The sequence below is a fragment of the Homo sapiens genome, chromosome 6, assembly GCF_000001405.40.
Source record: "Homo sapiens chromosome 6, GRCh38.p14 Primary Assembly".
NCBI classification, from domain to species: Eukaryota; Metazoa; Chordata; class Mammalia; order Primates; family Hominidae; genus Homo; species Homo sapiens.
This window is the reverse complement of record NC_000006.12, coordinates 138,476,378-138,492,503: the sequence shown is the minus strand read 5'-3', so window position 1 is coordinate 138,492,503 and position 16,126 is coordinate 138,476,378. Positions and strand designations below refer to the sequence as shown.

General features: G+C 40.5%; 1 protein-coding gene across 26 annotated transcripts in view, besides 1 other annotated feature; it reads left to right on the top strand.

The window, feature by feature from the left end:
- NHSL1 (NHS like 1) overlaps window positions 1-16,126 on the top strand; it is a 271,170-nt gene that overhangs the window by 200,709 nt on the left and 54,335 nt on the right. For 11 of the 26 annotated variants that reach the window (XM_047419110.1, XM_011535976.2, XM_047419119.1 and 8 more), the window contains one exon: window positions 4,721-4,774. The exons of 13 other annotated variants lie outside the window; for them this stretch is intronic. In XM_047419110.1, coding sequence (XP_047275066.1) covers window positions 4,721-4,774 — 54 coding nt within the window. 2 more of the 26 variants (XM_011535971.3, XM_017011088.2) reach the window with 2 other exon arrangements.
- Window positions 5,795-6,414: an enhancer, noted in NCBI's record as "NANOG-H3K27ac-H3K4me1 hESC enhancer chr6:138807227-138807846 (GRCh37/hg19 assembly coordinates)". NCBI's record gives its function as "activates a minimal SCP1, AML or CMV promoter by ChIP-STARR-seq in naive H9 embryonic stem cells {active_cell/tissue: H9 hESC(naive)}" and the evidence as "EXISTENCE:reporter gene assay evidence [ECO:0000049][PMID:30033119]".

The window sequence follows — 16,126 nt, the reverse complement described above, 5'->3', positions numbered from 1 at the left end:
TGAGCATCTGTTCTGTTCTATGCCAGGAGTGTTTAAATGAACGGATGAAAGTTCCTGGGTCCTCAATTTTAAAGAGCCAGGCCTGCTGTCTTGGCAGCAGCTTGTAGCAAAGTTTGTCTTGAGGTTTGCTACTGCAAGCTTACTGTCTTACGGTAGTAAACAGGCAGTAGTGTGATGGAGGTGTGCATGAGGTACATTGTACACACAGGGAGAGAGGGCTCAGTCAGAGAACAAAGAAAAGCACTGGGAGGTCCCCTCACTCCCCCACTCCCTCCTGCTCCCATCCCCACATGAGAGAGGAGATAGTCTTTCAAGATGTGTAAAATGGCATTTGGAGCAGGCTCTTGTCCATGTATAATTTCGCTCTACTCTGATCCGAATATAGCAGATATCTTTTGTATTTACAGCTGGAGAGTCTCTGGAGACTTTGATAAAATTTGATGGTCACAGGCTTAGATTAAATGTCTTGATTTTGTTTGTTGATTTGTTACTGGAGATTTAGGTAATGATTCACTGCTAATGAAGATACAAACATGTACAGGTTGAACATCCCTAATCTGAAAATTAGAAATCTGAAATGCTCCAAAATCCAAAACTTTTTGAGCACTGACATGATGCTCAAAGGAAGTACTCATTTGAGCATTTTGGGTTTTGGGATTAGGGATTCTCACTCAGTAGTTATAATGCAAATATTCCAAAATCAGAAAAAAACCCAAATCGGAAACATTTCTGGTCTCAAGCATTTCGGATAAGAGATACTCAACATTTACCCAGATTTAAAAATGGCATTTTAATATTTGCTTCAATAGACATCTGGCTAGCAACAAAAAATAAATTTTTGAAGATGGATCCCATTATCTGTGAAGAATTCACTCAGCTTCTTACTGAGTTTCCAGAAGAAGTCTACCCTTTTTACATCCATCATTGTTTGAATCCTTCATGAACTTCATTGGAGATAGCTGTGATGATAAGTAACCTAAATCTGGCTAAATTTTTATCTGCATAGTTTTTGGCTTTATGGAACGGGCTACAACTAAGTGGAAAAGAAATCAAGAGATAGGAGTAAGCTGAATGAGAGGTTCAGATTTTGCTTTTTTGTAACCTGTAGACTTCATTTGACAACTATGAGCATATTAAAGGCTGAAATAAAGACATGTCACTTTTAAGGCTCCATCCCCAAAAAGCCCAACTTGAGAGAGAGATAAACATAATTTCTCACAGTATGTTTAACAGGCACTTTAGTTACTGTCTCTGTGTACATTCCTGCCTGAATTAGTTCACAGAGCAGCTGTTGTTGGCATCAGAAATGTTCTCTAGTCACAGCTCTTTCCTGAAGAAATGCATTTTAGCAGGTCAGCATGCTCCATGGCTCTAGAATTTAAAAAGTGTGAGCGCAAGGAGGAGTGTTGAATCTGGCCTATGTCATTCAAAGTCAGAGGGTTATATTTATTATACCTGAAAGGATAGGAGTTGAGAATTTATTACACAATGTGAAAAAATAACTACTTACAGCAAGTGATTAAAAACAATGGTGCACACATCGACCTGTTTAACATTAAAGAATGATTTACCATCCAGGCGCGGTGGCTCACGCCTATAATCCCAGTACTTTGGGAGGCCAAGGCGGGCGGATCACGAGGTCAGGAGATAGATACCATCCTGGCCAACATGGTGAAACCCCGTCTCTACTAAAAATACAAAAATTAGCCGGGTGTGGTGGCGCATGCCTGTAGTCCCAGCCTTCTCAGGAGGCTGAGGCAGGAGAATCACTTGAACCTGGGAGGCAGAGGCTGCAGTGGGCTGAGATTGTGCCACTGCACTCCAGCCTGGTGACAGAGTGAGACTGTCTCAAAAAAAAAAGGAGAATGATTTACCTTTCCTAAAATTATGGACTAGATTTCCAAGTTGTTCCAGCCAGATTTCTCTACAGTTACCGACAGCAGACTTTGAGGGTGACTGCATCCACCCTTAGTTGTCATGAAGCCTCCTAGCTCCCTTTTGGTGTAGACAAGTATGTTTGTCTTGGGAGAGATTGTGGGCCTCCTTCTGAATTTGATGAGGGTGCTTGTCTGTCTTATTTATCTGCCTAGAGCACGTGGGTCCCTGAGATATCGCAGATACCCCTTGTCTTTCGCCATCGGTTCTCCACTTGAAGGTCCTGTGGCACTTTCCCAGAACTGTGTAGGAGGTGCCTTTGTAGGAATGGCCTGTGGACATTGATTGAGAGCTCTCCCTGATGGCATGATGCATCTGCCCACCACCTCAGACAGGCCCAAGATGGACATCTGCTTTGCCCACCTTGTGCTAACCACGTTGAATTCTTCATCTTTTTTTCTGTAACTTTAAAAAAAAATATGACATATAACACAGAGAGGTACATAAAACATGTATGGCTTGAGAAATAGAGTGAACACCTGTATAACCATTACCTAGGTCAAAATGTGACCTAAACTTCAGAAGCTTCCTGTTCCTGCTTGCTTGCCTTTCTTTTTTCTTTGTCTCTCTCTCTCTCTCTCTCCCCCTCTCCCCCTCTCCCCCTCTCCCTCTCTCCTTCTCTCCCTCTCTCCCCCTGTCTCCCCCTCCCCCTCTCCCCCTCTCGCTCTCTCCCTCTCTCCCTCTCTCCCTCTCTCCCTCTCTCTCTCTCTCTCTCCCTCTCTCCCTCTCTCTCTCTCTCTCTCCCTCTCTCCCTCTCTCCCTCTCTCTTCTTTCTTTCTTTCTTTCTCTCTTTTTTTTTTTTTTTTTGAGACAGGGTCTTGCTCTGTTGCCCAGGCTAGAGTGCAGCAATGTGATCACGGCTCACTGCAGCCTTGACTTCCCGGGCCCAATCCATCCTCCCACCTCAGCACCCTGAGTAGCTGGGACTACAGGCACACAACACCGTGCCCAGCTAGCTTTTGTATTTGTAGAGATAGGGTCTTGCCTTGTTGCCCTGTCTGGTCTTACTCCTGGGCTCAAGTTGTCCACCTGCCTCGGCCTCCCAAAGTGCTGGCATTACAGGCGTGAGCCTCCACACCCAGCCATCTTCCTGTTTTCTAACAGAAGTCCAGGTGTCATGTGAAGTACTTTGAGTCACATCTAAATTCCAATCCTGACTTTGTTACATACTAGGTATAGGTTACTTGAGTTTAATTTTGTTTGTTTCTTCAACATTTTGATCTTATTTTCTCATCTATAAAGGCCATAATATCTGTTTACATGGGAATGAAATGAACATATTCATGTAAAGTATTAATATCTCAATGTACCTGCCCCTCAATGTGGAAGTTATAAGTGTCTGTGGAGGGAGGGGTGCATTTTAATTGAAGTGCAATGGAACACAGATATAATTTTACAAATCTCAAATGGCCTCAGGATTTAGTTGGGTCTTTCTTTCCTACCTGTTGTGCTCCAGAGATATACTGTGGGGAGGAGGGATAAAGGAACAGAACAAGGAACACCTTCTGATGACAGTGACAGACGCTTAATACTCAGGTTCATTTCATCCACATGAGCAAGATGCCTTTCGCCACTCACCATCAACCTCTGAAAGACCCCTAGAATGCTGGAGCTGAAAGGAGCTGCCCAGTCCTCTGGTCAGTCCCCCTTTCCATTTTGTAGATAAGCAAAGCAAGACCCAGAGAAGTTAAGGGTTCCTGGTGCTCACGCATGCTGGCCTATTCTGATCTCAGACCTCACAAGCACTGAAGAGACCTGTCCCTTTGATGCCCTTTCAGCTGCCCTCCACTTTATGGAAGTTCACAGGGACAAAGCTCACCCTGGGAATCTCATGGCCAAAGATGGATTTGGTTTCTTTAGCCAGTTAATTTAGAAATGCAAATTGGCTCATCGTTGCCTAAAGGTGGTGACTTCATGGTTACTCCTGAAGTCTCCTCACTCACCCCTGATTTCATTAAAATTCAAATAAGTCTAAGAGAAATAAAGGAAGCATCACATGACATGTTTGATTAATATCTATAACCATTCTTTCATCTTAATGGCTTTTGGTGCTTATTTTTAGGGTTATAATTGGTTATTAGTAACTCAATAGACTTAAAAAATAGGCACAGGTTGCAAGGGAAGGAAAGATAAACATTTGAAATTAATAAATACACTAATGATTTAGCACTTGCAGCTGAGTTTACAATTTGCCTAGTTTGTTACTTCCCAAAGAATACTTCAGTAAAATTGATATGCAAAAGGTGAAGGTCAGATGTCTCTGGCTAAGGTATTCTGATTTTTTTTTTTTTGAGACAGAGTCTTGCTCTGGTGCCCAGGCTGGAGTGCAGTGGTGTGATCTCGGCTCACTGCAACCTCCGCCTCCTAGGTTCAAGTGATTCTCATGCCGCAGCATCCCAAGTAGCTGGGACTACAGGTGTGCACCACCATGCCCAGCTAATTTTTGTATTTTTAGGACAGACGGGATTTTGCCATGTTGGCCAGGCTGGTCACTAACTCCTGACCTCAGGTGATCTGCCTACCTCAGCCTCCCAAAGTGCTGGGATTATAGACGTGAGCCACCACGCCCAGCCACTTAAGATTCAAGCAAGAAACTTTCGATTACTTATATTCATTTATACAATTTTAAATCGTTTTCTAGTTGAAACAAATATTGGCATAGAATTGGGGGGCAGGAGGAGTGCTATGTTATTCTGAAAAAGCAACTGAACAGAGGAAGGAAGTATAATTGTCTCATATTTCGCAAAACCGCAGTAGCACTGACATCTTGTTTTGTTGTCATTAGTGATTCCAGAAGATGAGATGGGAGACCAGAATTCTGGTTGCAGTGTTGTCAGTGGTAAGCTGCAGGATATTGGAAGTCAGGTCCCATCTTCGTACTTGGCTTCCACCTCTGAAAAACAATTTATGATTTCTATGTTCCCTTCTAAGCTCTAAAATTCTGATTGGCTTCTCAGTACTTAACTGTTTAAGGGTAATATGTGTGAAGTTAACTGACACAAAGATATTACCGATGGCTGAGCCTAAGTCCTGACAAACTGGGATGTGTAATCTTAAGTTTGTATGGACGGAAAAATTGTCTAAGTGCATACTGCAAGTGAAGCACTGGGCTGGATATTATAGTGCAATCAAAGATGAATGTCGTCAATGCTTTCCTCCAGAGGCTGAAAGCTAGCCAGAGATAAGATGTATGTATGACTAGCTTATGTGCAAGGTTCATAGCGGTGGTATTATTAAGCCTCAACACTGGGTGTTATCTTTAAAACGAACTTGGTCAGCCTGCCCTAGTTAAAAATTCTTTACCAGCTCCCCATTACTAACAGAATATAACCTAAGCTCTTAGCATCTAGAAACCTTCCTGAACTCAAGCCTGTTTGTCTCATCTCATCTGCAGAATCACCTTTGCTCCCCAGACATCTCTACTCCTCCACCCAATTTTTTTTACTTTGTGCCTTCACGTGTAATGATAAAGTCCTTCAGTTGGAATGCTAGCTTGTCTTGTTCTTCTTTCTGTCTACTGCATGTCCCAAGCCATACTTTTTCCCTTCTGAACCACAACCTCTCACACCTGGCCAACTCCTGTTTCCCCTTTGTGAGTCATCCTTGGGTGCTAGAGTCCCCCACAACCTTTCCTGGATTTCCCCTGGGTAGCCCCAGGAAGTCCTTTTCTACCTTGTCATGGAAGCTTACACTCCACCATTCTGCTGCTTATGATACACTATATAATTGTGTTTGCATGTTTATCTCCCTACTTGACAGTAACATCCATGGGAACAGGGCTTTGTCTTTTCACTTGTGTGTCCCCAGCACACAGTCCAGTGACTGGGACTGCAAATACTGTTGTGTTTGTAGAAGGCCTGAAAATGTTTGGAAAAGTCACCTAAAACACAGGAGAGAGATCAGAGTCAAAGCCGGGGAACAAGTAGTGAGAATGTGGAGTGATGAGATTGGGGATGGAGAGGGCCAGTGGTGAGGAGGGGGGCGGTTGAGGCTTGGAAGCTTTACTTTAGGGCACTGGGAGGGAGAAGTCTGCAAAAGAGCACAACTGGGGAAGAAGAAAGTTTAGCCAGGATGAGGCAGTCATCATGGCGCTCACAGGTGGGGAGAGAGTCATTGTAAGAAAAGGCTATTGAATCGGTTGTTAGGTGGTGATTGGTGACCTTTGAAAGGGCAGTTTCAAGGAAGTCTTTAGATTAAGAAGCCAGATTTCCTGAGATAAGAAGGATTTTTATAAGCAGAAAAACAATAAAAGTAATTGTTTTAAAGAAATAAAGGTGAGTGAATGATGCCAACAGAACAGAGAGGGAAGGGATAGTATTTTGAGGTGGTGGCACGGTACAGCTGATATTATTACATGTTTTAAAAACTAGAGCTTATGAAAACAGGGCCGTAGACAAAAGGAGTCAGCAGGAGGGGAAAGGATTACAGATATGGAAAGAGAATGGGAGGATGTTCTCTGAAGAAGCAGGAAGGAGGCAGTCAACTCAGGGCAAAGCGGAGGGTCGGAGGTTGCGGCCTCTGTCTCCTAGAGGGAATTGGGGAAGCGTGTTATGAGACGGAGCCAGAGATCGAGGCTGTTCATTACATGGTGTGGGAGCCTTGCTTGCAATGTGGCCCCCGCCATATTGTTAGTTCTTTGGTGAAAAGGATGACTTTATTTGGTGCTCTCTCGCTCAGGTCTTGTGAATTTAATTAGGTTGACTTTTCAAAGACAAATGATATTATTAAAGGCTTAAAAAAAATATGTGTGGTATTTCATTTGGCTCTATTGGAATTTTTGTCCTGAGGGAAAGTTGCCCAGCCGGGTGAAACCACGGATTAAATGCCCTATTGAGAAAAAGAAAAGAGCAGACAAAAATATGGGATTAACAGAATGGGAATTATATACAAAAAGGGGCTATTTAACTTCTCCTATTGAATTTGATGGCACGGAATTTTCTATAATACTAAGTACTACTCTGGGTACAGTAACTCCAAAAGAAGTGCTTTCCTTGGTGTCCTTAACTCGGGAGAGGGAAGTTGGATGCAAGAGCAAAGGAAAAATGAACAATCATTGCTTTTTCAGATAGTTAAAGAGACGTGTTGCCCCCACCCCCATACCTTTTTTTTTTTTTTTTTTTTTAACGGTAAGCAACACAGAAAAGATAGAATGGCAAAGACAGTCATTTAAATGATCCAGGTCTTAACAAAGCACTGCGGATTGTTTAAACAAAAGGCTTTTTGTTTTGTTTTTGTGTCTGTAGCCAGTCTGCTGTTTCAGCAATTCTATTTTAACTCCCGATAAAGTAAGTAACTTGAGTGGCCTCTATATTTCACTCAGGGCAGCATAAAAACGATACATTGAAGGTACTGTTGGTAAGGTTTGTTATCATTCACGATACAACCGAAGTCTCCCGTGTTGGCTTAGAATCTTTGCAGGCGATTTGATCTTGAGTAACCTTGGTGATGCTCCTCTGCTGCCAATGATACGGCTTTTTAATTCTAAAGTGAAATGAGATCGCCTCCAATTTGGCTGCTCTCTCTGGTGGTGCTCAACTAGGACTTGCAGACTCTCAGCACACTCACATTAATCATGGCATCAGAAAGCTCTCACCTTAATTTAAATCAGATTTAGTTCTTCAAGGCTTCTTAAATTAATCTGGGCATGTGACAAGAAGAAATGTTAAAAGCTGGTTTTCTGCAATGGCAAATGACATTTTAATAATAATTCTTGCCATGGTGTGCAATGAAAAACAAAGCTAACAGACAGTTTATCCAGTGGCTCAACTTTTAATGTTTAACTCCTTAAGGTTTTTTGTTGTTGTTTGTCTGTTTTGTTTTGTTTTGGGAGGTTTTAATTTCACTCTAATAGGAATTAATCACAGAGCAAGAATATTAATCAAAATGGCCGTTTATTTTTAACCCTTCTACATAAAATGAGATTGTCTATGGTGTTTAATGTCAGTGACAGAGATATTGGTCCCAAGACATGGGGGAAAACCAGTCTTTCTAAAATGTGTTAATGCATTGTTAACAAATTCATTTCCAGTTTGACTGTTGAGCCGATGACCACAATTAGTAGTGTATTTTCCCTCTGTGGTTCTTCCCAACCTGGTCATTTTATTTTGCTAAATATACAATGTAAATTGTATATTTACATTGTAAATGAGAAGTCATTTGGAATTGTGTTATTATAAAATAATTTTTAGGCAGTCTGCTTATCATTCCTTTTTTTTACCCCCTCCCCTGGCAAAGAAACCTGTCCATTTCAAAGGTAGCATTCTGTCACCACCTCCTCTCTTACATCTTACTCCCCGCCTACACTTGCCTGCAAGCTTTTTCTGAAAATGCAGCTTTCCTGTGGCATCTGTTCTGTCTGACTAGAAAGCTTTGGGGAGTTGCCCATGATGCAGTTAGCTTTTTAATCCTAGATTGGTCAGTTTCCCTGAAATTCTACTGAGACAAAATTTCCTTGGATAGATAACCATGATGGTGCACCAGACATCATCTTCCTTATTCATTCTGTTCCACCTACTCTCCTCTCATCCTCTTATTACTCAAATATGTGAGTTGTGGATGGGAGAAGAGGCCCATTTAATGGGAGGTCAGGTCATATGCCTTGGGTTAATGAAGGTGGAAAATGTGGCTGAGGATAAAATCTACCTGGGTGACCAATGGGGCCATCACCTTTGTCATATAGTTACAGTACCCCTTCAAGCACGCTACTGTCCAACAAATACAGATCATTCATTCATTTAAGGAACTCACCGAGCACCAGCCAGCCACCCACATTGAGCCATATCATGTAGGGCTTAGAAACCATTAGGAGGATTTTGGCTTTTACATTCAGGGCGTGGAGAGATTTGAACTTAGAAGTGACATAATCTGACTCATTAGTTTGAAATGGATCCATCTGATTGTGTGTTGAAAGTTCACAGTAAAGGAGACAGGGGTGTCAATGTAGGAGACCAGGTGGAGGTCACCATCAGGTGAGAGATGGTGGAGGCCTGATCAGGAAGTTTTCCCTGCAGTTGCAGCTGGAGTGGAATGTTAAAATAAATGTAAGAACCCTCCAAGCATTTTAAGGAAATCTTGACATGTAAGACACATTTCTACAGTAGCAAAGCTAAAGCTTTTCCTGAAACAAAATGGCATTCTTTAGGGACTAAAAGTAGATACCAGATATAGCATTCCCCCACCATTGATCTGTACCATATCAGCTAAATTCTTTATCCTATGTTCCCTTTTAAGTTATTCGCTTGGCGAGTGTGGATCATTTGTGACATAATAAAAAGAACAGACCAACCCTCTTTTCCTTTGGGCATTTTATCATTTGTCATGTGGAATATGTAGGAAGCAAAATTCTATTGCCCTCTTTGGGATCCCCACCGAACACCTCCTCTGAGTAGAGAAGACTTCTCCTCTTTCACTTTTACCTCCACCCTAAATGGATATCATGTTGATCCCTTTAATTTTATTTCTACTTCTCTTTAGGTATTTGCCTTACTCTGAAACAGTTTTCTCACGGTGTGGCTCACAGGACAGCTGCATCAGCATTGATTGAGGACTTGCTAGGAATCCAAGTTGTCAGGCTCCATCCCAGACCTACTGAATCAGATATGGGAGTGGACTCAGCAGTATTTTTATAACAAGCCCTCCAGGGGATTCTGATGTACCTTAATTTGGGATGCCACTGCTCTGTACATTGGCCTGTGAATTTGTTTAATCAGGCAGCTAAACTGTAAGCACCTTGAAGGCGGGAATGTAACCCTTTAGTCCCACTACCCTTTACAAGCTACAAGTTAGGATTCCAAGACACAGCTACCCAGTTTCAGAGTTGGTGCTCTTGACTGCTGCTGCTCTTCTCTCTCGTTGGTGGCAAAGGTGACTTGAGAAACTGGTGTTGATGCCTCTGTGTATTCATTCTGTGTTTTCTCCAAGCTAGCTCTGCCTTGACTGTCTGGAAGAAGAGTATTCAGAGGTTTAGAAAAAAATGGCTGGCCAAAGCACAGGTCAGGAGAATCACTGAACCTGGAGGTTGGAAAGAAAACATAATTGTCACCAGCTTGACTTTCTCTTTTCCAACTTTCTGGTGGTATAAGTCTAGATAACTTTCATCCTCCTTTTTTTTTTTTTTTTTTTTTGAGACGGAGTCTCGCTCTGTCACCCAGGCTGGAGTGCAGTGGTGCCATCTCAGCTCACTGCAACCTCCGCCTCCCGGGTTCAAGCAATTCTCCTGCCTCAGCCTCCTGAGTAGCTGGGACTACAGGCACCCGCCACCACGCCCAGCTAATTTTTGTATTTTTAATAGAGATGGAGTGTCACCATGTTGAACAGGCTGGTCTTGAACTCCTGACCTTGTGATCCGCCCGCCTTGGCCTCCCAAATGTTGGGATTACAGGCGTGAGCCACCACGCCCGGCTTCATCTTCTTTTTTTAAGGCAAAGTAAGACTTAGTCCCTTCAGGAAATTTCCCTTTTCCCTGACACCAGGGTGATAGTTGGCATACTTTCATATTGGCCCTCTCTTTCTTGCTTCACCTGCAGCTAAGCACATTGTACTCTATTACCTGGAATGTTTTGTCTTTATAGATTCCATTAAGAGATAAAATATTTACTTTTAGAACTTTTAGAAAGTCTTGGGCTTACTCGTTAAAGACATGTATTTTCTCTTTTTTATGTTTTATGTTACTTTGAATGCTAAGTGTCACTGAAGTGATAATTGGTGAAGAAGTGGTCTTATGGGCTCAAATTTGCATTTATTAGGAGGCAAATTTGAGTTTAATACTTGAAATATAAAAGCATGCTTTTATGCTGTTATACATATTCCTGTATAGCTACATAAAACAGCTCTTGCTCTAAAAAGAGGGGAAGGGAGAAAAGAATAAATCATTAGTCTAATAATAAACCAAAAGGGCCTATTTATTTGAAACTTATTTAAAACTACTATAAATTATAAAGGAAAATATTCATTGAAAAGATCTGTATTAAATACACAGTGTCTTTGAGATTTAAAACAGCTTTTCACCTCTTTGATATGCTACACACAACTGAGTGACTTAAATGTTTGAACATCTATTGTCTTTTAATTATGTTCTAGTTTGTTTATTGTTGAAGACAATTTAAATAAATTGAAGTTCAACTGCTTTGAAGAATTTATGGAAAATCTAAACATATTTTTGGAAAATTCATCGTGCATGAGTGACAAGGGAGAATCCTAACTATATCAGTATGATTTCTTTCTCTTTTCCAGTATTGCCAAGCCCAACAAATTTATGAAGGGGTAGGTAAATAAATCCCTTCTATTTTAAATGCACTTTGGTTTGGTTTTTCATTAAGAAAATAAGTTCTCTAATATTCACAATACATGATATTTAGGTGCAGTCAGTTTTTCCTGTGTATTTATTTGAAAGCTCAAACTAGATTATTTAGCTATACAATACTTCATTCAGCTATTGGGCTGGAATTCATTTTCTTCTAAACATGAATGTTTATAGTCTTATGTATTCTCAGTCCTTCTGGACTAAGATGAAGTTTTGTGATAGAACTGGCCTTTTACCCTGTTATTAATAATCTGGTAGATTATTAACTGAGATAGAAGTTTAAAAACTTCGATCTACCAGAAACTTTATACCTGGGCTTCAGAATCTGTAAGACTGATACAATAACTGCTTTCCTTCAATTCTCAGAGAATTATTGTAAACACAAATCAGGTAATGATAACAAGAGGCTTTCAGTTTTAAAAAGTGTCAGTAGTATTAGCTTTAAAAATCAGTCATCCGAAAAAAGATTTTTTAGACTCTAGATCATCATAGGACTTTCTCACTGAAGCAGTACATCATGACTGCTATTTTTATAATTAACTTTGGGACTGGAGTCCTCCCAATGCTTAATGACCTTGAATTACAGTAGGAAGGTTGCAAAAGATTCAATGCTATTAAAAATAAACCACATTCAGTTTTTAAAATATGATATATGTAGAATACCATGCTAGAAATAACAAATTATGCTTTGACCTGAATGTTTCAAAACTTTCCTAGGAGCTCATACTCATACACGTCAACACTACCCATGACCGGAAAAATGACAACTGGCCTACCGAACTGGTCCTTCTGGCTTTTCACACTGCAGTGCTTGTTTGAAATACAGTTGACCCTTGAACACAACACATTTGAACTTGGAGGGTCCACTTATATGGATTTTTTCAATACAGTCAGCCCTCCATACATTCTGGGTCCTGCAACCGAAACCAAATGCGAATGGAAAATACAATACTCAGGTATTTTCTGCATCTGAAACCAAATGAGAATGGAAAATACAATATTCACAGGGTGTGAAACCTGCATTATACAGAAAACCGACTTTCTGGGTCTACGATTTGCAGGAGTTTAGTATGCATGGATTTTGATATTCTGGGGTTCTGGAACCAATCCCCTTCTGATACAGAGGAATGACTGCTGCTTCCGTCAGTTCTTTGCCTTTCTCACGCAATCTAAGAAGTCAACAAACTTCTTACTTTTTTTCTTTTAGCATCCCCTCATCTTCCCATATCATTTTCTTGGGAAATAGAAAAACAATCCCATCTTATTCCACTTCGCATTCAATTTCTGTTTCTTCTATTTCTCCATCTCCCTCTCATTTAAGCAGGTCATACTTAGTAACCATCTATTTAAGGACTTTACCCCTTCAGATTATATTTCAGAATCTTTATAATAAACTTGGGAAAATTTTCACTGCATCGTATGCTTCCTTTTGTGGAATTATGCATATGAAGAAATCCATCATGACAAATTACAGAAGTCAGTGATAAAAATGTCCACGTACTTTTATCAGCATCACAAAGCACCTTGCATTTTCCTCATGTAGATAATAGCATGTTTAAAGTAGTCCTCTCTTATTTGTGGTTTCACTTTCCATAGTTTCAGCTACCTGCAGTCAACCATGGTCTGAAAATTTTAAATGGAAAATTCCAGAAGTGAACAATTTATAAGTTTAAAGTTTTTGCCATTCTGAGCAGTGTGATGAAATCTCACAACAGCCCCCTCCATCCTGCCTAAGACATGAAACCTCCCTTTGTCCATCGGATCCACGCTGCAGACACTGCCCGTCCATCAGTCAGTTTGTAGCCAGCTTGGTTATCAGATTGCCTGTCAGCATCTCAGTGCTTGTATTCAAGTCACCCTTATTTTACTTAATAATGGCCCCAAAGGACAAGAGGAGTAATGCTGGCCATTTGGATATGCCAAAGAAGCTGTCAAGTGTCTCCTTTAAGTGAAAAGGTGAAAGCTTTTGACTTAAAAAGGACAGCAAAAGAAAATCATATGCTGACGTTGCTAAGATCCATGGTAAAAATGAATCTTCCATCTGAGAAATTGTGAAAAAGGAAAAAGAAGCTCCTGCTAGTTTTCCTGTCACACCTCAAACATTATCATAGGTATAGATGTCTAGGAAAAAAACATAGCAATAGATAGGATTTGGTACTGTCTGTGGTTTCAGGCATCCACCAGGGGTCTTGGAACATATACCCTGAGTATAAGTCAGGGACTACTATATTAAAAATTGAATGACTAAAGAATAGCTTAATGCATAGAGATTTGGAGGCCACAGCAGTAATAAATTCATGTGAGAGTCAGATGACCATCTAGCGCTATGACATTATTTTTTTCTTCTGTATTTGAAACTTTGGTCTACCAAGAAATGTTTGTCCCTCGTCCTTGTGCTATGGAAAATGGATTGACACGAAAGGAAGGAGGAGGAAATTTAAGGTTGGGAAACTAGAGGACACAACCAACAGTGATACCTTTATCCAAGCAGTAGTGTGAGAACAATAACACAGTTTTGCTGTAAATTTCTGTTGCAAGAAGAATATGTGTGAACGATTGGTCTTCTTTTACATTTAGGATCTTGTTTCTAGCCTGTGGTCGCAGGCATAACCTGGCTTTAAATTATGCTCTGCTTTGCAGTTACTCTCTCAGTTCAGTGTTTAAAAAGTCTTTGCTTATTCGTGATGGCTTGCTCTCACTTTTGTTTCACCCCACAGACAAGAAACTCCAATTCTAATGAACAAAACCATGGTTTTAGAACCTGAGCTCTGTTGCAACTTGACAAGAGGAGAATTTTCTGAATTTCCTCTAGAGTTGGAATAAATGACAGTGGAATTTTATGAGTTTACTAGATTTCAGAAATGTGATAAGAGCAAAAAAAAATTGGTCAGCTGCCATGAATTTATATTGTCTAGTCTTATCTTAGATCAGCATCATATTTCATTTGTTCTACTACCATTTATTATACTGCTATTAAAACATTTTTATGGCCAGCGCGGTGGTTCACACTTGTAATCCCAGCACTTTGGGAGGCCAAGGCAGGCAGATCACCTGAGGTCAGGACTTTGAGACCAGCCTGACCAAAAATTAGCCAGGCATGGTGGTGTATGCCTGTATTCCCACCTACTCAGAAGGTTGAGGCAGGAGAATCGCTTGAACCTGGGAGGCAGAGGTTGCACCATTGCACTCTGTTCCAGCCTGGGCAAAAAAAGCGAAACTCAGTCTCAAAAAAAAAAAAAAAAAAAAAAAAAAAAAGTGACATAAATTTCATGGTGAAAAAAAGATGCATTGTCTTCTAAACTGGGCTCAAAAAGGTGACACACACTGGAAGTACTAATAGTTGCTGGTCTTTCATGCTTTTAACTTGTGGATGATGATTTTGCAATATTTGGTCTTTTAAAATCTAACACGTGTCAAGTCATTTTGGCTATTTTCAATATTATTGCCAAGAATATAAAACTAATAATCATCCTTAGAAATGATCTTGCCCAGCAGTCTCTTCTTATTTCCCAGGGAAACGTCCTTTTGAAACACAGTCTTCCTTGGTATCCAATACCTTACATATATTTGTAAAAGTAATGTTTGAGTAGTGTTAAGTTTTATAATTTAAATTTTTAAAACATAATTATTTATTATTAGTCATTTTACTATTATTATACATTTTAGAGGCATGGTCTTGCTCTGTCTCCCAGGCTGGAGTGCAGTAGCCCAATCATAGCTCACCACAGCTTCAAACTCCTGGGCTCAAACAATGCCCCTGCCTCAGCCTCCTGAGTAGCTGGGACTACAGGCACATGCCACCATGCCCGGCTAATTAAAAAGAATTTTTTTCTAGAAATGCGGTCTCATTATGTTGTTCAGGCTGGTCTTGAACTCCTGGCCTCAAGCAATCCTCCCACCTTGGCCTCCCAAAGCACTGGGATTACAGGTGTGACCCACTATGCCCTACCCTATAATTTAAACTTCTTATAGGGTTCATTTAATGAAACAAATAAAACAATTTTGAACAACAAATTAATTTAGTTTAAAAGGGCTTTGGACTTCTCTCTATATTTGTGAAATATTTCAAAACCCTGAATTACATAGATAAGTAGCTGCAAATGGTAATAGTTTATATTGGTTTATTTTACAAGTTTCACTCTGATCTTTAGACTTTAGTTTTACAGAGATAGCAGGAATAGCTTTATTTCTAGGACCACAGGAAAGTTAATTTAGCAGCATAAGTTAATAAATTAAGTCCCTCATTGTCTTAAAATTTGGTATGTAAAACTATTGAACTTGAGTCTTTTTTTTTTTTTTTTTTTTTTTTTAGATTCAGGGAGTATATGTGCAGGTTTGTTACATGGGTATATTGTGTAATGGTGAGCTTTGGGCTTGTAGTGTACCCATCACCTAAACAATGAACATTGTACCCAATAGATAATTTTTTTTCTTTTTTCTGAGATGGAGTTTCGCTCTTGTTGCCCAGACTGGAGTACAATAGCATGATCTTGGGCTCACTGCAGTCTGCCTCCCAAGTTCAAGCAATTCTCCTGCCTCAGCCTTCCAAGTAGCTGGGGTTACAGGTACCCACCACTATACCCGGCTAATTTTTGTATTTTTAGTAGAGACGGGGGTTTTTCTGTGTTGGCCAGGCTGGTCTCTAACTCCTGACCCCAGGTGATCCGCCTGCCTCGGCCTCCCATAGTGCTTGGATTACAGGCGTGAGCTACTGGCGCGGGCCCCCAGTAGGTAATTTTTAACCCTCACCCTCCTTCCATCCTCCCTCCCTTTGGAGTCCCCAGTGTCTATTTATTTCCATCTGTGTGTCCATGTGTACCAATTGTTTGGTTCCCACTAATAAGGTGAGAACATGCACTATTTGATTTTCTGTTTCTGAGTTATTTCACT